A 24,486-nucleotide genomic window follows, 5' to 3' on the forward strand; every position below is an offset into this window, starting at 1 on the left:
TTTAATTTCTTTAGATTAATGGAAGTTGACTAGTGATAGAGTAGGTCAGAGTGACACTAAACTGTTAGCAGTCTTCTTTCTGTTAGCTTTTTATTCTACCACCTTACACAATCATCTTACCTCTAATAGTAAATCCTCAATACTTTCTATCTTGTCTAATGAATATTAAACTAGAAATCAGGTAAATAAATTCAATTTCTAAATTTTTTACTAAACAGTCATAAAAACCTCACAACCACCTCATCTCAGTTTCTCCAAATCTAGATTTGCCATCTCTTAGGATAATCAACTGTATTTTATACATTGTTGAGAATACTCTGAAGAATGCTACATAAAGCATTATTTCTGAAGCATATATTTAACTCAGTTATATTGAACAGTGTTATCAAGGAATAGTAAATAACTGGCAGATGTTGCCACTTACACTGCACGATCATGGCAGACATTACTAATTTACCATAACATTCTTTTTTCTGTTTTGTTTTTTTGGAGACAAAGTCTTGCTCTGTCGCCCAGGCTGGACTATAGTGCATTGGCGCCATCTCGGCTCACTGCAACCTCTGCCTCCTGGGTTCAAGCGGTTCTCATGCCTCAGCCTCCTAAGTAGCTGGGATTACAGGCCTGCACTACTATGCCCAGCTAATTTTCATATTTTCAGCACAGACAAGATTTCACCATGTTGGCCAGGCTGGTCTCGAACTCCTGGCCTCAAGTGCTCCTCCCGCCTTGGCATCCCAAAGTGTTGAGATTACAGACATAAGCCACCACGTTTGGCCTATCACGATATTCTTTTCTGCTAAACATGAAAACTACAAACACATCTCATACATGAAGCTCAATTTACAAAGAAAGAAACATGTAACCAAAAAAAAAAGTCAACAAGTTTGACATCAAGGTGTATTGAATAAATCTAGAAGAACTTAAGAAAAAAATGAATTCAAGTAATGAAGCCCATCCTAATTACCTAGAAACACACAGATATAAAAAAAAATTGTGGCCACACGCGGTGGCTCACGCCTGTAATCCCAGCACTTTGGGAGGCCAAGGCAGGTGGATCATGAGGTCAGGCGATCGAGACCATCCTGGCTAACACGGTGAAACCCCGTCTGTACTAAAAATACAAAAAATTAGCCAGGCATGGTGGCGGGCACCTGTAGTCCCAGCTACTTTGGAGGCTAAGGCAGGAGAATGGCGTGAACCCAGGAGGTGGAGGTTGCAATGAGCCGAGATGGGGCCAATGCACTCCAGCCTGGGTGACAGATCAAGACTCCGTCTCAAAAATAAATAAAAAAATAAATTGTACAAAAAAAATTTGGCTCTTTATTTGGTAATGTAAGAAAAAAGTTTAAACTTAAAAGGAGATAAAAAGCCAAAACAGCCAATAACAAAATTGAAAAGAATCACACTCACTTGCTTTCTTCATCCAAAAGATGAAGCAGTCCTGTTGGTTTTTTGCTAATAAGATTTATGCAGCAGGTATTATCAATGTAATCTATGTTGTGCCAGCTGATACCTTCAGTTCTATATTCCTCCTAGAAAAACCAAAAAATAAAATAACAATTTATTCATCTTGCAGAAAATAGGTATATAATATAGATTGAAAAGCTTTTACCCTGCTTAAAATTCTAAGATTTTAAAAATCACCAATCCACACAATGAAAGAATGTATAATTTCAGTTGTACAAATCTTAATACAACGTATTTGTTTTCTCTTAAAAAGACATGCCACAAATTTTTTTTGTTAGAATGCCAGTTCTAAGTTCATTCTAATCAAAATGTAGGGCTAGATTTGTTTTAGTCTCACTACCTGATGACTCCACTAAGTAAAAACGTACAATGAAGAAAAAAGGCTAATATCTCCCACATGACTTTAAGCCATCAAAAAGCACTATATTTCCTGGATTATCAACAATGAATTTAATGAAACAATTTCTGGGAAAAGTGGGACCCCATCACCCTCCAGTAATTATATGGAATTCATACACACTAAACTTTGGCAAAATATAATCTTTAGGACTTTTTTTTTTTTTAAAGAAAAGGTTTTGAATTCTAAGGTTAAAAAACTCGAGGTTCAGGTCTTGAGTAACTACTTAAAATCATCTTACAAAGCGCTCCATTTTTTCTTATTCTTTCCTGTATGGAGATATATTCTTCTATTCATCCTTGTGATACTTTCACTTTTTAGATGGTTTTTTTAAGGAAAAAATGCACCTGAGAATGTAAAGGAGATATGTTTCTGCACTGCAGTGGTATTTAGGCATCAGGTAAAATATCCCATGTACCTAATTGTTTTAGCATTCACTTACAGTACTTGCAGCACAAGTCAACTGCCAATCTGCAAATAGTGATTTTGAAATTCTTTTTTGTTGTTCTTTTTGATTTTGAAATTCCATCATTCTTTCTGTATTCATTATTATCCAGTAAAGAAGAATGAACACTAACATAAACTATAGTTACTCTAACTAGGAAAGGTAAATACTTAATTCTTTTCTTTTAATTAACAATTTCACACATAAGAAATAGTCATATAAAGGTCACTCCCCAATGGCAGTAAGAAAGGTATTTCCCCCCAATTTTTTGCAGCATGAAAAATATACACACTAGATAGTATGAGCTTAATGATTTTTATAGGCATTACTAGAAGTCCAAAAGTCCTCCTCATTATCTCTTCCCAAGGACTATCCAAACCCTCCTACCCAAAGTCAGCTTCTAATACAATCAATAAGATTCCCCTATTTATAAATAGTATCTAAATGGAATCACATAACACATACTCATTTTGTCTCTTTTCTTTTTTCATTCAGCTAATGTTTCAGAGACACAACCATTTTGTTGGATGTACCTGAAGTTCATTCATTTTAATTGCATTGTGAAACAACACAATCACTCAGCTACATATTGTCTATGGCTACTTTGTCAATGTAACAGCTGAGTTGAGACATATGGCCCAAAAAGCCTTAAAAGATCTGGCCCTTATAGAAAAAGTGTGCCAAACTCTGCTACAAAGCATTAGTTCTAAAACTTTAACATACAACGGAATCACAAGAACGGCTTGTTAAAAAACAAGAGTATTGGGACTCCATCCCCAGAATTTCTGCTTAAGTAGGTATAGAGTACTTAGAATTTTCATTTCTAAAAAGGTTCCAGGTGATGCTGATGCTATTATTGAGGAGAGAGAAGGAATAAACTTTGAGAATCACTGCTGTAGAGTATTCCATTGTATCTGTATACAATAACTTGTTCACCCATTCTACTTTTTTCTTTTTTTTTAAGAGACAGGATCTCTCTTTGTTGCCCAGGCTGGTCTCGAACTCCTGGCCTCAAGCAATCTCAAGCAATCCTCCCACAACACTGGGATTATAGGCACAAGTCAAGCCCCACTCTACTACTGATAGACACTGCTCTTAATTCTAATATTTGGTCATTAAAAATAACGTCTTATGACCATTTCCACACAAAACTTTTGGTGTGCATTTATACTTATCTTTGAGTGAAAACACAGGATTATAAACTACATGTTTAACCACAGCAGATAATGCCAAACAGCATTCTGATGTGGTTGTGGCAATTTACATACCCACCCCAGCGTATGTCCCTATAGACATATCTCTCCAATACTCGTATTGTCTGTCTTTTTCATTTTAGTCATTTCGGTGAATGCCTACTAGTAGCTCATTGTGATTTTAGCTTTGATTTCCCTGATGAATAACAAAGAAAAAACATTTTCCTATGTTTACTGCTCATTTGGATTTCCCCTTGTATGACGTGCTTGTATTCATGATAAAAACTCTTGGCTGGGCACAGTGTCTCACATCTGTAATTCCAATGCTTTGGGAGGCCTAGCTGGGAAGATCACTTGAGGCCATGAGTTTGAGACTAACCAGGACAACATATTGAGACCCTGACTCTACAAAAATAAAGAAAAAAATTAGCTGAGCATGGTGGTATGCACCTGTAGTCCCAGCTACTTGGGAGGCTGAGGCAAGACGACCTCTTGAGCCCAGGAGATCAAGTCTGCAGTGAGCTATGATTGCGCCACTGCACTCCACCCTGGGCTGCAGAGCGAGACTCTGTCTTAAAAACAAAAAACAAACAAACAAGCAAAACTCTCGGAAAACATTATTGCCTTGTTCTTAGTCTCAGAGGAAAAGCACTCAGTCTTTTTCATTCAATAAGATATTAGCTGTATTTTGTAGATGTCCTTTATCAGAAAATCATTTTCTACTCCTAGTTTAAAAGAAAAAAAGGAATAGCTACACAGTTTTATCAACTGCTTTTTATATATCTCGAGATAACTGTGTTTTCTCCTTATTTATTAACAGATGATTAAATGGCTTGATTCAGTTAAATGTAAAGCACATGCTGAAAAAAAAATCTCCCTTTGGTTACAATGTATTATCCTTTTGTACATATTGATGGATTTTATTAATGTTTGTTTAGAATTTTTGTATCTGTGTTTATGAGTGAAACTGACCTATAATTTCCACTTCTAATATCCTTAACAGATGTGTGTATCATTGTTATCCTGGCCCCCTAAAATGTACTGAGAATTGTCCTTTTTTCTATTCCACCTAACAGCTTATGTCAGACTGACACTCTTTCTTCTTTCCATGTTGGTATAATTTACCCGTGGAGCCACCATGGCTTGCAATGTTCTTCAGGGAAAGGTTTTAAATTACATATTCAATGTCATTAATAGTTATAGAAACAGATTTTCTATTTCTTCTATGTCAGTTTTGAAAAGCTCTTTTGTTCGTATCATTTGACAAGTCTATTAACATAAAGTTATTCAGTGTGTCTATCTTTTTAATATGTGTAGGATCCAGAGTAATACCCTCTATCACTGGGATTTTGGTTATTTATATCCCTCTCTCTGTCTTGTCTCTCTCTCTCTCTCTCTCTCTCTCTCTCAGATGAATTCCTTGAGGGGTTCATCAATATTATTAGCCCTTTCAAAGTATTACTTTTGGTTTGGTTGATCCTCTCCCATGGTATATTTGTTTTCACACTTTTATTAATTTCCTCTTTTATCTCTATTATTTCATTTTCTCTACTTTCCTCTGGTTTAGTTTGCTGATCTTTTTCCCAACTGTTGACAGGGATCACTGATTTTAAACAAAAATCTTCTAAGAGCTATGAAATGTTCTTCTAAGTATAGCTTTAGGCATTTCCCATAGTTTTAATATGTAACGTGTCATTAGGTACAATATATTTTCTAATTGTTCAACCTCTAGCCTATTTAGAATTTTTTTTTTTTTTTTTTTTTTTTTTTTTTTTGGGACAGAGTCTCACTCTGTCGCCCAGGCTGGAGTGCAGTGGCCCAATCTCAGCTCACTGCAAGCTCCGCCTCGCGGGTTCACACCATTCTCCTGCCTCACCCTCCTGAGTAGCTGGGACTACAGGGGCCTGCCACCATGCCTGGCTAACTTTTTTGTATTTTTAGTAAAGACGGGGTTTCACCGTGTTAGCCAGGATGGTCTCGATATCCTGACCTCGTGATCTGCCCACCTCAGCCTCCCAAAGTGCTGGGATTACAGGCGTGAGCCACCGTGCCCAGCCTAGAATATTTCTTAATTTTTAATCATATAGGTATTTTTCAGTTATTTTTTAGTTACTGATTTCAGGTATAATTTTATTATGGTATTAAAATCTGTGTCATTTCAATCCTTGGAAATCTGACTTTCGCTTTATGGTCCAGGATATAAACAAATTTTGTAAATATCCCACGCAAACTTGAAAAAAAAGTGCATTCTGCAGCTGTTGATGCAGTGTTCTATGCATATCAGTTATATATTTGATTTTTAAATCTTCTATATCCTTAATTGATTAGGTTTCAGGCCTAAGGGCAGGAAACTGACATTCTGCTCTGAAGGACAGTCAGTGATGGATGCCCACAAAGGCACTAATCTCATCTTCTAGATATTTTAAATCTTCTGTATCCTTACCAACTTTTTGAACACTTATTCTATCAGCAAGTCAGCATGGTATGTTAAAACATTCCACTATGATGGTAAATATATTTTTCTTTTTTGAGTTTTATTCATTATTGCTTTATATATTTTGAGGTTCTGCTATCAGGTGCTTATAAATTTTGGACTGTATACTACTTCCCAAGGAAGTGAATAATGCTAAAGGGTAACATTATTAAATATTCCTTTTTATCTCTAGTAATGCTTGAAATATGATATTAATATAGCTACAACTGCTTTTTTTCTTAAGGTTTACTAAATCTTTGCTCATCCTTTTAATCTTTCTATATACTTATATTTAAAATGTCTCTCATAAGCAACAATCAGTTTAGTTTTGTATTATATCTAGTCTGACAATCTTTAGCTTCTAGTTAGAGCAATGAATCAATTATATTTAATGTAATCACTAATATTTGTGAGATTAAATCAAACACCTTACTACTTGTTCTTTGACTTTCATGGCATTCCTTTTATTTCTTGCTTTCTTCTGGATTGAGTGTTCTTATTTTACTTATCCTCTGTATTTTTTTTCAAGTTTTATATTATTTTACTATTTTTGGCAATTCTAGAAAACATGTATCCTTAACTTATCACTAACAGAAATAATATCTCTGTAACTTAGCATTTAATACAAAGATCTTAGAGTATCTTAAATTCTATTTACTCCTAACTTATATGCTATTACTGTCATGTATTTTAGTTACATTTAAACATTAAATAGTTTTTTATTTTTTTTATTTCTTTTTTTTTTTTTTTTTTTTTTTTGAGATGGAGTCTCGCTCTGTCACCCAGGATGGAGTGCAATAGCGTGATCTCAGCTCACTGGAACTTCCGCGAACCCTTCCCAGCTACAAGCAATTCTCCTGCCTCAGCCTCCTGAGTAGCTGGGATTGCAGGCGGCTGCCACCACGCCCTGCTAATTTTTGTAGTTTTAGTAGAGTCGGGGTTTCACCATGTTGGCCAGGCTGGTCTCACACTCCTGACCTCAGGTGATCCACCTGCCTCAGCCTCCCAAAGTGCTGGGATTACAGGCGTGAGCCACCACGCCCAGCCTAAATAGTTCTATTTAAGCCATAAAAGTTATTTTTAACTTTGCCTCATTAATATTCATTTAGATTCAACGACTTTTTTATAATTTTCATTGCTCTTCATTCCTTCCTGTACCTGAGCTACAATAGGAAACAACTTGCTGCCTAAACAATATACCTTGGTTTTAAGGAAAATATGCCATTGTCTCCTAGCTTCCACTATTTCCACTGAAAGGCTGACTGCCAAGTCTTATTGTTGTATCTTTAAAGATAGAGATGTCCCTGACTTACGATGATTCAACTTTACAATGGGGTGAAACTGTCATAATTTCTGCAGACTTTATCTTTGCCTAGGCTGGTGATATGTGGTACATGAGATATTCAACATTTTTACTATAAAATAGGTATTGTGTTAGATGATTTTGCCCAACTGTAGGCTAATGTAAGTGTTCTGAGCACATTTAATGTCCTGCACATTTAAGGTAGGCTATGTCAAGTTATGATGCTTGGTAGTTTAGATGCATTAAATGCATTTTTGACTTAAAATATTTTCAGCTTGGCAAGGAGCAACTGTAGTCTCTGGTTTCCTCTAGCTGCTTTTTAGACTTTTTTCATTGTCTTTGGTTTAGTATAATTTTCTAGGTATAAATATCTTTGTATTTAACATGCCTTGGATTCTTAAAGAGCTTTTCAAATGTATGCTTGTTGGGTTTGTTTTTTTGTTTTGACAGTTTTGGAACATTCTCAACCATTATGTCTTCAAACACGGCTTCTAACTTATTCTACGTCTCTCATACACATCTTTCCAAAATTCCTATGGCACATGTTAGACCTTTTTACTATGCTCTTAGAGTATAAGTCTCTTTCTTATCTTCATTCATTAGGCTCAGTATTTTCTTCTGGTCTATCTTCCAATTTACTAATTTTACTAACCTGTATCTTACTATTAAAAACCATCTGTGTCTTTTCAATTTCACAGTACTTTTTAGTTCTAGGTTTTCCCCAATTTGGGATTTTTAAAAGTAATTTGTAGTTCTTTAATAAAAATATTGCACCTTATTTTTTAAAATTTCTTGAAAGCATGGTTAGTTTCCAGTCCATGTCTAGTGCTAATATCATTGGCTGGATCCACTGTGGTATTATTATCTCATTTCTCTTGGGATATTTTGTTGTTGTTGTTGAGACGCAATCTCACTCTGTCACTCAGGCTGCAGTGCAGTGGTACAAACTCAGCTCACTGCAACCTCCGCCTCCTGGGTTCAAGCAATTCTCCTCCCTCAGCCTCTTGTATAGCTGGGATTACAGGCATGTGCCACCAAGCCCAGCTAATTTTTGTATTTTTAGTAAAGATGGGGTTTCACCATGTTGACCAGGCTGGTCTTGAACTCCTGACCTCAAGTGATCCACCTGCCTCAGCCCCCTAAAGTGCTGGGATTACAGACGTGAGCCACCATGCCCGGCCACATTTCTCGTGGTTTTTATTCATGCTGGTTTGCCTCCATGTATGTCTTTATGTCTCTGTCTGTCTCTCTCTCTCTCTGTTTTGGACTGAGTGTTAGATCCTGTATATGAAAAATTATAAAGATAATTTTAGCAGTTGGATGATGTCTTCTTCTGGTGGAGATTGTATTTGCTCTTGGCAGGTGGTTAAGAATACTACAAATTGTATTTTAACCTAATTGGGAACTGAGATGATTTTAAACTGGGCTTCAGTCCTTCTGATGCCAGGTTTACTTCTGATTTACTTTTGTCTGAGATGTAACCCTTTAGGGATCTCAACCTAAAGCCTATAGGAATTACCAAGGGCCTCCTCCTTATTTTTGAGTCAGAAGAAAACCCTGCTCAATTCCTCATACTCTCAAGCCTGGCCCTTTTAGAATCAGAAACACTACAAAAATAACGAAATGTCTCTAGGAACAAAGCAGCACCCAAATGCTGGGCTCACTTCCCTAGATTTCTTTCTTATAGTCTAGGCCCTGTAAAACTTATTTGAAGGTACTCCAATGCCTTCAAATATATGTTGTTGAAGTTTTTTGGTTGTTCTCCAAGGTAAGGTTCATCAAAAGTTTCTAGTCTGACAACAACAAGTAAAATGGATGAAACAAAAACTTGCTAGATTATGAGCTCCTCAAATAAGATCCCTGCACTCTAAATTTTCTATCTTCTATGCTTAGCACACTGCCTGGCACACAACTGTTGTTCAATTTACTGATGAATCAATCAAATGAAGAGTAATTCTCAGCAAGTAAGGAAAAGAAAAAAGAGGGCAGTAATACAAGTAACAGAAAACATACAATTGGCCCTCCATATCTGCAAAAGTTTCCACATTTGTAGATCCAACCGACCACATATCAAAAATATTTAGAGAAAAAAATGCAAAAAATATAAACTTAGAAACAGTATAGCAACTATTTACATACCATTTACAGTGTATTAAGTATAAGAAACTGAGAGATGATCTAAAGTATACTGGAGAATGTGCATAGGTTATGTGCAAATACTATGCCATTTTACATAAGGGACTTGAGCATCTGTGGATTTTGGTATTCTTCAGCAGGGGGTCCTGAAACCAATCCCCTGTGGATACCCAGGGATGGCTGTACTTTCAAATATCAGAAACCTCTTTGGGTCTGTCTCTTAGTCTACATTACAGTCTCTACCACTACCTTGATTCAGTTCAGAATCACTCACCCATTCTACAGTCATGTGCCACACAAACACATTTCAGTCAAGAACCAACTGCATATACAACAGGGATCCCTAATCTCACGAAAAATTCATATTATCTACTGACGTCTTGATCCTGACCCTGTGTAGGCCTATGCTAATATGCTATGGTAATATGTATGTATACATGCTAACATGTATGTATGTGTCTTTGCTTTTAACAAAAAAGTTTTTAAAGTTTTAAAAAATTTTAATAGAAAGAGGGCTTATAATTATATAAAGAGAAAACATTTTTGTACAGCTGTACAATGTGTTTGTGTTTTAAATGGCTACTACAAAAGTCAAAAAGTTAAAAAAGTTTATAAAGTAAAAACATTACAGTAGGCTCAGGTTAATTTATTACAAAAAAATTAATAAATTTAGTGTAACTTAAGTGTACAGTGTTTATAAAGTCTAACTAGTGTGTGTACAGTAATGTCCTAGGCCTTTATCACCACTCACCCAACATCTCACCCAGAGTAACCTCCAGTCCTGCAAGCTCTAATCATGGGAGGTGCCCTATGTAACTGTACTATTTTTTATCTTTTATATTGTATTTTTACTGTATCTTTTCTATGTTTAGATACATTTAGATACACAAATACTTACCATTGTGTTGCAGTTGCCTACAATATTCAGTGTAGCATGCTGTACAGGTTTGTGGCCTAGGAGCAATAGGCTATATCATATAGCCTAGGTGTGTAGGAGGCTATACCAACTAGGTTTGTGTAAATACAGGATGATGTTCATACAACAGCAAAATCACCTAATGATGCATTTCTCAGAACATATCCTCATCATTAAGTGACACATGACAGTACTTCAACTAGTTCATAGATTTTTCTCCTTCTTTCCAGTTCACTGCTCTTCAGTTCAATTCAAGTCCTCTGCTAAATATACTTCAAATAGCTTCTCATTGTCTGAAAAATTCTAATCTTCCCTGCATGACATATAAGTCCACTGTTTTAAGTACAATGTGTATAATGTTACCTTTGCCTAAAATATCTTTTCCCATTGACAATCTAGTGAGCTTCAGCTCACTATTTGAAATTATATGCCAGAATCAACCCTGGAAAATTTTTGCAGCCTTTCAGGTAGTTCCAATCAACCCCATCCTTTGTGTAACTACTTTACCTTATATCTGATTATAGCATTTACATCCTGCATGGCAATTATTACATCTCTCTCCCATCCTATATGCCTATGTACTCCTTTTGGACAAAATTTAGAACCAAACCACAGTCATCATATTGAAGATTTTTCCTACAAATGTACCTGTGATACTGTACCTTCTTTTTAAAAATTTTAACCTTAACTTATTTTATACTCAACTGAACTTAACAAGTAATCACTGAGTACCCATTTCATACCAGTTACCAATGAGGTACATATAAATAAGACACTTAACAAGATTCTGATCCATAATTGCACCACATTGCCCAAAATGCTGACATTCAGGGTAGCAAGTAAATGAGAATCACCCATCTTCCAAGTAGTTTTGAACACATTTTCCATAAACTCTAAGGTTTTTTATTTTTATATATAATACGTTTATGGCCAAGGCATTTCTTCTGGCTGTCTAATCTAGACTTCTAGAAAAGAATAATTTCAGTTTACAATAAAGAATGTTTGTCTTTTTCAAAATCAATTTAACCAATGTTCTGTTTAATGATCCACAGAGCAACTGATGTTCTGCTCTGTAAAATATAGAACCCAGAAAACTAAATGCATTCCCTCACCCTTCTAACACATGTACTTATTTGCAAGAGATAAAGAATATTAACTTAGTATGATTTATGTAAGAGTTTTGGACTGATTCAATAGACATGGATGGCAATCCCAGCTTAGCTTTTGATTAAAAGAAAATATTATAGAGCCAGAGTGTTAAGGTTTGAATACTGGCTTTAGACAACATCTGAAAAACTAGAATAAAAACAGTACTGACTGATAAGTAACACTACATAACTCGTAAGTGTTAGCTAATATTATAACAAATAATATCTTTCCAAAGCTCTAGGGTAGCATCTAGCTAACAGATTATATGTTTAAAACTTTAAGCATTCATCAAGTTGGCCAGGACTAATATTGTCATGCTATTGTTAACCAGCCATTATGTCCTTTAAGCAAAATAGAGGCACTTTTTTAAAAAGCTAAGACAGCAACAAGATCCAATGATAGGAGACTTGATGATATAAAGATCTTTTCTCCCTCTTTTCTGTAGACCTGCTAGCTGTTGTAGTCTTTCTGTTCATTCTCTATTCTTAACTATTTCCCTTGAGTTCAGTTTGATGAAACCTGTGTCTGCCTATGTCCTCATACACAAATTCTGGGGTACAATGTAAACCTATTACTGATTTCAACCTTAGTTTGGAGAAAAAGTCCACATTTTGTTTGCCCCTCCCTTTGCACTAATAATTTTCATGGAAACTGAAAGCCCACTCTTTTTTTTGAGATAGAGTCTCACTCTGTCACCCAGGCTGGAGTACAGTGGCGCAATCTCGGCTCACTGCAACCTACGCCGCCCACATTCAGGTGATTCTCCTGCCTCAGCCTCCTTAGTAGCTGGGATTACAGGCTCCTGTCACCACACACGGCTAATTTTTGTATTTTTAGTAGAGATGGGGTTTCACCATGTTGGTCAGCCTGGTCTCAAACTCCTGACCTCGTCCGCCCACCTCGGCCTCCCATAGTGCTGGGATTACAGGTGTGAGCCACCACTCCCAGCCAAAAGCACACTCTTTTTATACTAACTTAATCAATCTTGAGATCCTCATAAGAAATATCTAGTTACCCATCTTGGTCTCTCCATACCTAGTTTCTTTGTATCTACACTCTGTACTGACTTGAGATTCTGTTAAGCTCCTCTATCTCATCCTAGAACTAAGAGACCAAAGCAATCAAACAAGCATACAGTTGGCCCTCCATATCCTCGAGGGATTGGTTCCAGGACTCCCTGTGGATACCAAATCCACAGATGCGCAAGTCTCTTATATAAAATGGCTTAGTACAGTCAGCCCTCTGTATATGCAGGTTTGTATCAGTAGTTTTGTATCAGCCATGGGTTGAATGCTTGGATGTAAAACCCAAAGATAAGGAGGACTGACTGACTGTACTTAGCATTACACACAGTGACCAAGCCCATGGTAGCAATTAAAAATCAACACCATTGTTTCCAAACCCCTGTGTGAAAGAAAAAGAAAAAAGAAAAAAACAATCAACACCAGCAATAAAAACAAAACAAAACACACACACACATCTTTTTAATCAAAGGTTCATTCAAGGCCAGGAGTGGTAGTTCCTGACTGTAATCCCAGCACTTTGGGAGGTCAAGGTGGGAGGACTGCTTGAGCCTAAGAGTTTGAGACCAGTCTGGGCAACATAGTGACACCTTGTCTCTACAAAAAATAAAAACAAAAATTAGTTGGGTGTGGTGACGTGCACCTGTGGTCCCAGCTCTTGAGTGGCTGAGGTGGGGGGACTCCTTAAGCCCCAGAGGTCGACACAGTGAGCCAAGATCACGCCACTGTACTTCAGCTTGGGCGACAGAGCAAGAAGACCCATCTCTAAAAAAACACACTCCCCTGCAAAAACAACAAAGGTGCAATCAAATAAGCATATATAAGCAATTTTTTTTTTTTTTTGAGACAGTCTCATTCTGTTGCCCAGTCTGGCATGCAGTGGCTCAAACACAGCTCACTGCAACATACACCTCCCAGGCTCAGGTGATCCTCCCACCTGAGTCTCCTGAGTAGCTGGGACAACTGGCATGCAATACCACATCTGGTTAATTTTTATATTTTTTGTACAGACAGGGTTTCGCCATGCTGCCCAGGCTGGTCTCTAACTCCTGGGCTCAAGAGATCCACCCACCTTGGCCTCCCAAAATGCTGGGATTGTCAGCTTGAGCCACCATGCCCAGCCAGCAAATCTATTTAGGGAACTATAAAACCTCTGTCATCTGCTTACAATGATATGTGGACCACAATATTTGTATTGAAAGACAAGATTTAGGCTGGGCGCAGTGGCTCACATCTATAATCCCAGCACTTTGGGAGGCTGAGGCGGGTGGATCACGAGGTCAGGAGATCGAGACCATCCTGGCTAACACAGTGAAACCCCATCTCTACTAAAAATACAAAAAAATTAGCCGGGCATGGTGGCGGGCACCTGTAGTCCCAGCTACTCGGGGAGGCTGAGCCAGGAGGCTGGCATGAACCCGCGAGGCGGAGCTTGCAGTGAGCCGAGATTGGGCCACTGCACTCCAGCCTGGGCGACAGAGCGAGACTCAGTCAAAAAAAAAAAAAAAAGACAAGATTTAAAATGCTTATTATGTGCTCTCCACTCTTTTAGTAAAATATCACAACTGATATTATGATAAACAATTGAAGCTACCAGACTACTCTGTTTTATCTCACATTTCTAATCCCATCAGTTGAGTTTACATAAACAAAGAGGCAACGGTATTTGTTCCCAAGCCAATTTACTTCGGTTATTCTTGTTTGTAAAGGCACGTTTCAATATTTAATAAAAACACTATGTAAATCAATAAAATGTGTGAAAAAATGAAGTGAATTATTATGAATATGACTCAAAGATATGTGTGATGGGGGGACAAGTGTATACATATTTAGGTACTCACTTGTTCCAATTTAAAGATATGCTGATTAAAGTAGTGCTGTAAACGTTCATTAGCAAAATTAATACAGAACTGTTCAAAGCTGTTATTTTCATAATCTTCAAACCCAAAAATATCAAGAACACCAATAGACAATGTCTGTAAAACAAGAGAAAGTTTTGATTAAAAGTAATGTTTAAATTTATTTAATGAATAATATCCACAACATAAGTAACAAAATGCTCAATTCCTCTAAAGCAGTGTACAGGGGATTGTGTTTGGCCAGTATTCAAAACATATCATGACTTAAAAGTATTTTAGTTATCTTTATCTTACTTTTATCCTAATTAAAAAAATATATCCAAACTGTTAATACATATAATCTATAGATTACAGAAATATGTGAAGCAAGGTTAGTGGCCTTTTATCTTAAGAAACCTCAGAAATCCCTAACATCTTAAAGGGAATGGAAAAAAACAGAGGGTGAGGAAATCAAAAGGTTATTTCAATGAAGGATCAAGAGAGGTAGGTTACTCCTGGCTATACCAAGAGGACAATGCAATTTTTCCTATTTCGACTTCTACATCCCAATAAATAGAATTCTTCATTAAGAACCAAACTAGTATATTTTATCAGCCTCATGAAGACTGAGTGAAACTAGATGTCAGAACGTATGGTTTCTTTTTTATTTTTGAGACGGAGTCTCGATCTGTCGCCCAGGCTGGAGTACAGTGACGTGATCTCAGTTCACTGTAACCTCTGCCACCGGGGTTCATGCGATTCTCTTGCCTCAGCCTCACCAGCAGCTGGGTTTACCATGGCATGCACCACCATTCTGGCTAATTTTTTGTATTTTTGGTAGAGACTGGTTTCACCACGTTGGCCGGTCTGGTATCAAACTCCTGAGTGCAGGTGATCCACCCGCCTCGGCCTCCCAAAGTGCTGGGATTACAGGCGTGAGCCACCGTGCCCGGCCAGAACATACGGTTTCGTAAAGTTAAAAATATTTATTAAAAAAAAAAAGTATGAGGTTTAAAATGTTGAATAGTGCTAAAAGGATTACAACAAAAGACAGCAATCCCTGCCTCATCATCAAGATCTGCTCCCTAAAGTCAACCACATTCAAATCTTTCAGCTGTTTGGTAGAATACAGAACATAAATGCTTATATTCTTCTATTGCACTTCTAGGAATAATCTAACTTCTTACTGTGGATTTGGCTCTAATACCTGCATATGAACACTTTTCTCACCACCCCAACCCATTCTAGAAATACAGTTGTATGACAATTTTGGTTAAATGAAAATAATTTTTCTCCACTGGTGCTAAGAGATACAACGGGCAAACTGATATGATGAATGAAAAATAGTAAGATCTTTTTTAAAAGCCTGTACTAAGAGTATTTTGTTTAATTCTGCTAAGTCTAGGCCCTTAAAAAAATTAAAATAATGCCCTTCAAAAATAAATCAATTTGATAAATTAGATTACAATTTAAATTAATTTTTATGACTGTGAGTTTACCTGAAGCATGAAAAATTAACATAAGAGCAATTTCACATTTAAGGCAATAGGATTAAATTTAAAAGGTGACATTTTTAATCAGTCTGACAAGGTGGACTAGTCCATGAAGGCTGCCCAGAAAACACAACTAGATGTGAAATGATTAAATACCTATAATCTGCCATATTAAAAATATAGTTAGAAAAAGTCTAAACATAAAAAAATTATAATTATAAAAATATAAGAATAAATATTTTATAATCTTGGGCTAGAAGAGGCCTTCCTCTGTAAGTAAAATACATATACAAAATGCAAAACTAAAAACAAGAAAAATGACAGAATTAACTGCAAAAAAATTACAACATAAAATCAGAAAAAGATGGTATAAATAAATCTAAAAAGTAAATAACTAAGAGAGAAAATAATTGCAATATATATCAAACTATAGGCCTCCACAAATATCCACAATAAATGCCTTCTAAAAAGGAGTAGGCCAGGCCTGGTGGCTCACGCCTGTAATCCCAGCACTTTGGGAGGCCAAGAAGGGCAGGTCACTTGAGGTCAGGTGTTCGAGACCAGCCTGGCCAACATGGTGAAACCCATCTCAACTAAAAATACAAAAATTAGCCAGGCATTGTGGCACGCGCCTATAATCCCAGGTACTTGGGAGGCTGAGGCAGGAGAATCACTTGAACCCAGGAGACGGAGGTTGCAATGAGCCAAGATCATACCACTGTACTCCAGCTTGGGCAAAAAAAATGAGACACTGTCTCAAAAATAAAATTAAATTTAAAATAAAATAAAAATAAAAAGGAGTATCAAAAAGACAAAACAGAAGACAAAAATAACACAAAGTTATTTTAAAAATACAGAGAAGAAATAAAATAGCGAAAACATGAGGTGATGCAGAACTTTTATCTATCATTAAAAATAATGCAATAAAATGAAACCATTCCCCTTATCAGATTAGGAGATGTAAATCCTGATAACATCCAATGTGGGTAAAGGTGTAGGGGATCAGGTGCTTTCACACACTGCTGCTGGAAATGTACAGTCTTTTTTGGAAAGTGTCAAATTTTCAAAATGTATCTATCCTTAAACTTAGCAATCGGCAGGGCACGGTGGCTCACGCCTGTAATCGCAGCACTTTGGGAGACCAAAGCAGATGAATCACCTGAGGTCAAGAGTTCAAGACCAGCCTGGCCAACACGGTGAGACCCTGTCTCTACTAAAAATACAAAAATGAGCTGGGTGTGGTGGTGGGCACCCATAATCCCAGCTACTCAGGAGGCTGAGGCAGGAGAATCGCTTGAACCGGAGGTTGTAGCGAGATCATGCCACTGCACTCCAGCCTGGGTGAGAGCAAGACACCGTCTCAAAAAAAAAAAAAAAAACAGCAATCCCACTTTGATAATGTTATCCTAGAGAAATGTATACACAGGTAAGTAAAAGAATATTTGTTACAGCATTGTTTATAACAATAAAACAAAATCTATTTTTAATGGATGGATTTATGGTACACATCTTACTATATATTTATAACTTTTTTTAAATAGCCAGGTCCAGATATATAATGAGACAGAAAATATTTCAAGAGATTCTAGGTAAAAAAAATACATATATTTATGTTTGAAAGAATACAGAGAGCATGATTCTATTTACATTTTTTAAAGCAACTCTGAATATACACGTTCGGGAGGTAAAAACACATAATAAAAAAGGTCTGGAAAGACACACAGAACAATTCTTCTGAACAGGGTAATAAATAACAAATAAAAGCGATTTCTTACTTATTACTCTATATAATTCTGTGTTTTTAAATTTCATGTATTAACCAGTTTATTAAAATAGCTTTCAGGGAAAAACATATTATAATCCAATATATCATTACCTTGGTATTATGCTCTAAATCTTTACTATTCAGAAGTGCATGATTAATTCGAAAAACTATCCAGTCAAACAGGGCACTATACAGAGACTTAGCCATGGAGTTCCTCACTGTCACAGCCTGAAAAACAAAAGCATTACAAGTGCATGTAGAATTGACAATGATTAAGATACTATGACAAAGTTGTTTGCTCCCATTCAAGAAAGAAACTTACTATCCTGAATTAGAAATGAATTTTTCTCTCAAAATAAAAAATCTATAACTAAAGTTTTTTGTTTGTTTGTTTTTGAGAGTTTGGCTCTCATTGGCCACGCTGGAATGCAATGGTGCAATCTCGGCTCATGGCAGCCTCCGTCTCCTGGGTTCAAGTGATTCTACTGCCTCAGCTTCCCACGTAGCTGGGATTACAGGCATGCACCACCACGCCTGGCTAATTTTGTATTTTTAGTAGAAACGGGGTTTCTCCATGTTGGTCAGGCTGGTCTCAAATTCCTGACCTCAGGTGATTCACCCGTCTTGGCCTCCCAAAGTGCTGGGATTACAGGCGTGAGCCACCGCACCCAGCCAATTGAAGTTTTCCACATGTACTCATTCAATTAGTCCCACTCAAAGAATCTACGTTAAAACTGCCATTAAAGATAAGAGAAACAAAATGTAGGTCACTCAGTTCAAAACATGTTTATTAAAAATTGGGATATATATTCCCCCTAGGAAAGAAGGTATAATTGGAAGTTTACAAACAAATGACTTTGCCAGTTACAGTAGGTAAGAGTATTCTAGGCAGAGGAATAAATCTGTTAGGAAAAAGCCATTAATTTCTGTGGAATCCTAATCACCCTCTTAAAACATACACTAATACAACCACAATTACATTGGTAGTTGTCTTCGGCTTGTCACCCATAGAAACTTCTAGAATTACTCCATCCTCAAAGACAGCAACAATTCCCTCATTATGTAGTTACAAAATTTATTTTTTCCTCACTCTAAGCTTTCCAAGTTTATGAAAATTCTCAATACTATCTGCTCTATTTTCCTGTAAGTCTGAAATTGTTCTTAAAAAACAAAGAATTTCACCATTTAGAAAGCATAAATTTACAAAAAAAAAAAAAGGGAGTAGAGTATGGCACATGTCTTACAGAACTGAGTCTTAGCACTTAGAAGAATATAAATCCTAGTAATTTACATATTTATTATCTAGGGGCTTATTCTGAAGCTTGTATATTCAGGTACATATTTATAACTCCATTTTGAAGTATAAAGAAAATAGTAATAATTAAGAACTAGAGTATCTTCCAATTCCAGTTTTTCTACTTATTCTAGCTGCATAATCATGACTAAGTTACTTAACCTCTTAGGCTACTGGTTATACATCTATAAAAAGAAGGTAATACTACAACCTACCACATAGGTGATGAATTAATTTCTGAATATTGAAGGAAAAAAAAAGCTTCAAGTTCCTAGACCAAAAAATAACTGCCTACATAGCAGAAAGAAGACTGGTACCAAATTCTCTATCTTCAACACTAGAAACCTGTATTATTTTTTATTGTTGTGGAGTTTTAGAATATTTTTAATGTGCAAATGGTTGAATCCTTGGATGTGGAATCTGTGCATAAGGTGAACCAACTATCAAGAAAACCAATGGCAGAATGAAAATATAACAGAATACCACTGTATTTTTTTCCCCAGAAAGAAAAGAAAAATGAAGATAATCTAATAAAATTCAGGAAAAGTACAATATTTTAAAACTAAATCAACAAATATAAGACATAGAATAAGCATATAAACATTATCACAATAAATTTTATGAATGGGTTGAATTTTTTAGTTAAAAGACCTTCAGACAAAGATAAAAACTAAAGTCTAACTACAGTATTTATGGTTTACATAATGTACCATTTTTATAAAATACCATAGTCATAGAATCCAGATAGGCCAATACGATACCTATTTGTTTACTCTGTAACTCCAAATTTTATACTTTCAGCCCTTTTCTCTGAAATGCATGTCTGTCTTTCATAGCTTAACCTCAATAAACCCAAATATCAAGTAATATTTTCCCACCCAAACAAGATCTCATTTAGTGTTTCCTATGTCATTGAAGGGTACCAATATTCTTACAGCTGTGTAAACCAGAAATGCAGGACTCATCCTTGACACCTCCTTTGTTTGCCTTGCTTCCCATTATTCAAGTCATTACTAGGTCCTGCTGATTTAATCAAATTTTTTTCTTTTTAAATCCATACATTTCTCCCTATCAATATGTCACCATTCTGCAAAGCAAATATCATTCTCACTACCGCAGCCTCCGAACTCATCTCTCTACATCCACTCCTGCCTTCTGTGCTTGACCAAAACCCAAGATAGCCCACAAGATTCCCTGGGGGTACAAGTTCTATATAATTCCCTCCTCATAAGTGTAGGCAGAACTGTAAATACGATGGATTTCACTCCCATATGAAACTGATGTCACATGATAAAAATGAAAGGATTTTAAAGATATAAAAACCCAAACCAGTTTATTTTTTAATCAAAGGGAGATCACCCCAGACTTATGACCCATGGAAACTGCCAAGATATTAAGTCTGTATTATATTAAGTTGCTAAGTTGCTTACATAGCTGTAAAAAACTAATACATTCCTCCAAATGGTTCTAAACACATCTGCCAGAGTGCTCCTTTTAAAACAAAAAAACAAATTAAGATTTTTTTTTCTTAAAACACTTTAAGAGCTTTGCATTACCCTTCAGATAAAATACTAAAACTGTTTAGTACTGTTCCCCATAGTACCCCTAATGCTTTGCACATTTCTCGGCACAAAAATAGAGTTTTTATATATTTATTAAAGAAATAACAGCCGGGCGTGGTGGCTCACGCCTGTAATCCCAAAACTTTGGAAGGCCAAGGCAGGTGATCACAAGGGCAGGAGTTCGAGATCAGCCTGACCAACATGGTGAAACCCCATCTCTACTAAAAATACCAAAAATTAGCTGGGCATGGTGGCGGGCGCCTGTAATCCCAGCTACTCGGGAGGCTGAAGCAGGAGAATCACTTGAACCCAAGAGGCAGAGGTTGCAGTGAGCGAGATCACACCACTGCACTCCAGCCCAGGTAAGAGTGCGAGACTCGTCTCAAAAAAAATAAATGAATACACCAAACAAAAATAAACAAAAAAAAAGTAGGGAATACAAAATAATCTCAGAAGGTTACATTCAAAGTTAAAAATGAAAATAAATACTAAAAAAAATTTGTAATGAAAAAGGTGGTGTGGTCATTAGAGAAACGCAAATCAAAACCACAATGAGATACCATCTCACGTGAGTCACAATGGCTATTGTTAAAAAGTCAGAAAAACGACAGATGCTGGTGAGGTTGTGGATAAAAAGAAACATTTATACACTGTTGGAGGGAGTGTAAATTATTTCAACCATTGGGGAAGACAGTGTGGCAATTCCTCAAGGACCTAAAAGTAAAACTACTATTCAACCCAGTAATCCAATTACTGGGCATATATCCAAAGGAATAGAAATCATTCTATCATAAAGACACATCCACGTATATGCTCACTGCAGCACTATTCACAATAGCAAAGACATGGAATCAACCTAAATGCTCATCAATGACACACTGGATAAATAAATGTGGTACTTATACACCGTGGAATACAATGCAGCATAAATAAGAAGAAAACCACGTCCTTTGCAGGAATTTGGATGAAGCTGGAGACCATTATCCATTGCAAACTAACGCAGGAACAGAAAACCAAACACAGCATGTTCTCACTTCTAAGTGGAAACTAAATGATGAGAACACACGGAGACATAAAGGGGGTGACAGAGAATGGGAGGAGGGAGAGGATCAGGAAAAGTAACTAACGGGTAGTAGGCTTAATACCTGGGTGACGAAATAATCTCTACAACAAACCCCCATGACACAAGTTTACCTATATAACAAACCTGCACTATACCCCGGAACTTAAAAGTTAAATTTTTTAAAAGAAGAAAAAGGTAGTGAAAGAAAATGTAAAAAGCAATGAATCTTTATTTTATATAAAAGAAATATAAAACTCTTAAAGATTTGGCTTTCTTTTTTTTTTTTGTCTTTTTTTTTCTTTTTATTATTATTATTACACTTTTAAGTATTAGGGTACATGTGCACAATGTGCAGGTTAGTTACATATGTATACATGTGCCATGCTGGCGTGTTGCACCCATTAACTCGTCATTTAGCATTAGGGATATCTCCTAATGCTATCCCTCCCCGCTTCCCCCACCGCACAACAGTCCCCAGAGTGTGATGTTCCCCTTCCTGTGTCCATGTGTTCTCATTGTTCAATTCCCATCTATGAGTGAGAACGTGCGGTGTTCGGTTTTTTGTCCTTGCGATAGTTTACTGAGAATGATGATTTCCAATTTCACCCATGTCCCTACAAAGGACATGAACTCATCATTTTTTATGGCTGCATAGTATTCCATGGTGTGTATGTGCCACATTTTCTTAATCCAGTCTATCAATGTCCAACAAAGATTTGGCTTTCTTTTCATTTAGAAAGAAGCTCTCACAGTGGAAGACTATAATATGACATAAGAAGAAATGTGGACTTGGAGATACAGAAGGTGAGATAAATGGATCAATGTCAAGCTTAAAAAACATTCTCTAGAATTCAATCACAATTTCCTCACCTGTCTTCTAATCTTCTAATTTCATATTCCTGTCCAATTTTTATAATTATAATAATTTGACTTGACATCACTTTCATAAAACTACTCCACAAAGTAGCAGCTTTTCAATAATTTTCCTGCCCCTATAGATCTGAGTGGTATAATAGTAGCAACAAGTATCCCTAGGAGCCTCAGTATACAGATGGTATTTAAAGTGATGGGACTGGGTAAGATAACCTCAATGAAGAATATAGAGAAGAAGAAACAAAGACTGCGTCCTAGGGTACTCTACCTTTTAGAGATAAAGAAAAAAAAATACAAGCAGAAAGAACTGCAAACAAGTAGCCAACAATGAAAAAGTTAACCAAAAAAGTATGATGTGCTAGAAGAAACTGTCTCAAGAAGAATAATTAATTGGGTCAAATATTGCTCATTTATAATTCTACCTACCATCTATCTACCCCACATTAGTAATATGAAAATTGGAAATGATGAAGAGGTTAAGATCCTTGGAGAAAAATGCAAGCCTATTTCTCACAATCACATTCAAATTTAAGTTTCTAAATCAATGGAAAATTCACAATCAAATGTAAAGGCCTAGAAAATATTTCAATCAAAACTTTTTGCCATTGTCATTTTCATGCTGTTAAGAGAAAACCCAAACTTCAAACCTAAACTTCTAACAATGTCCAGAATGCTTTCATTTCAAAGAAAATCCATCATACCTCTGCCAACTTGTATGGCAAAATAAGCTTTTCTCCCACTGTCACCGTCTTCCTTGTAACTAATGCTTCAAATAGCATCTCTTCTTTAACCTATAAAACAGAAAAGTAAACTCAATATGTAAGATTTATGACAATAGGTTGAATTATCTTTTGAAAAAGCCAAATAGAGGAGGAAAAGCTTAATGAGATTAGCAATTACATAGCAGAGAAAAAAGGCAATACACTGGGCAATTTTAATACTGGCCAAATGGAATTTAAGTGTCCCACTCAAAAGACAAATGGGTTTTTTCAAGTTAAAGTTTGCTTTCTGATCATAACAGAGAAACATGTTTCATTGTGCAGAATACAGAAAATATAGAATAGTATAAAAAACATTTTAAGATGATCAATCATAATCCCACATGCTGGAGGCAAGGACTAAAAAGTGACAGCACTTCTTGAATTCCAGAAATATTCCAAAGGATATTTATTTATGTTTCAGATATTTCTTCTTCATGAATCTTGAATTCTAGGAATATTCCAAAATATACTTATGTTTCAGATATTTCTTCTTATTCATGAATGATAAACTTTTAAGATAAAGTTGACACTTCCTTTGTTCTCACTCTCTCCCCAGAGGCAAATACTATCATGAATTTCACATTATCATTTCAGTTAATATTTCTACACTTTTACATGTATTAAATATGTTCATAAACACTATGCTATACTGTCAAATGACTTTAATGTTTATCTATAAAGTACCATATTGCCCATATGTTCTTCAGATCTAACTATGTGGATAATTTATTATTATTATTATTTTTTGAGACAGAGTTTCACTCTGCCATTCAGGCTGCAGTGCAGTGGTGCGATCTCAATTCATTGCAGCCTCGACCGCCCAGATTCAAGCAATCCTCCCGCTTCAGCCTCCCAAGCAGCTGGGACTACAGGCACACACCATGTCGATAATTTAAATCAACCTTATTCATTTTAACTGCTACATAGCATTGCAGCATATAAATATACCACAGTGTGTAATCCATTCTCCTCTTTGTAGGCATTTACACGATTTACAATTTTGTATGATTAGAAAATAAACCACAATGAATATTGTTGCACATGAGTTCAAAAGTTTCTGTGAAGAACAAACCTAAAAGTAGAAGGTTAGAGCATACATATTTTCAGCTTTAGAGAATACTACCAAACTCCTATATATAATTTTTACCAATATGCTCTCTCAGCAGTAGCACTGAGAGTTCTTATTTCTTCCAAACCTTGACTATACTTAATGTTACCAGACCTTAGAATTTTGTCATGATGATGGGCATGAAGTGGTAAAACAAGGACATTTTATAAAAGTATCCATACATAATAAAAACATAACATTCATAAATGTAGGCAATATAAAAATTTA

General features: G+C 36.1%; 1 protein-coding gene and 1 long non-coding RNA gene across 57 annotated transcripts in view; one reads left to right on the top strand and one right to left on the bottom strand.

Moving 5' to 3' along the window:
- The window catches only part of MYO9A (myosin IXA), a 296,310-nt gene that overhangs the window by 154,470 nt on the left and 117,354 nt on the right, over window positions 1-24,486 (bottom strand). For all 50 annotated transcript variants that reach the window (XM_047432576.1, XM_047432553.1, XM_047432585.1 and 47 more), the window contains 4 exons: window positions 23,091-23,180; window positions 17,709-17,825; window positions 14,343-14,477; window positions 1,411-1,532 (listed from right to left, as the gene is read on the bottom strand). In XM_047432576.1, coding sequence (XP_047288532.1) covers window positions 1,411-1,532; window positions 14,343-14,477; window positions 17,709-17,825; window positions 23,091-23,180 — 464 coding nt within the window. The remainder of the gene's footprint in view (window positions 1-1,410; window positions 1,533-14,342; window positions 14,478-17,708; window positions 17,826-23,090; window positions 23,181-24,486) is intronic.
- Window positions 1-24,486, top strand: part of MYO9A-AS1 (MYO9A antisense RNA 1) — a 64,558-nt gene that overhangs the window by 4,554 nt on the left and 35,518 nt on the right. For 2 of the 7 annotated variants that reach the window (XR_001751798.3, XR_007064705.1), the window contains exons 2-3: window positions 16,933-17,028; window positions 22,253-22,320. This is a non-coding gene — a long non-coding RNA (MYO9A antisense RNA 1). Of the gene's footprint in view, window positions 1-16,642; window positions 17,029-18,205; window positions 23,293-23,904; window positions 24,191-24,486 lie in introns of those variants that run through there. The other 5 variants (XR_007064702.1, XR_007064703.1, XR_001751797.2 and 2 more) reach the window with 4 other exon arrangements.

The sequence above is a fragment of the Homo sapiens genome, chromosome 15 (genome assembly GCF_000001405.40).
Source record: "Homo sapiens chromosome 15, GRCh38.p14 Primary Assembly".
Taxonomy (NCBI): Eukaryota; Metazoa; Chordata; class Mammalia; order Primates; family Hominidae; genus Homo; species Homo sapiens.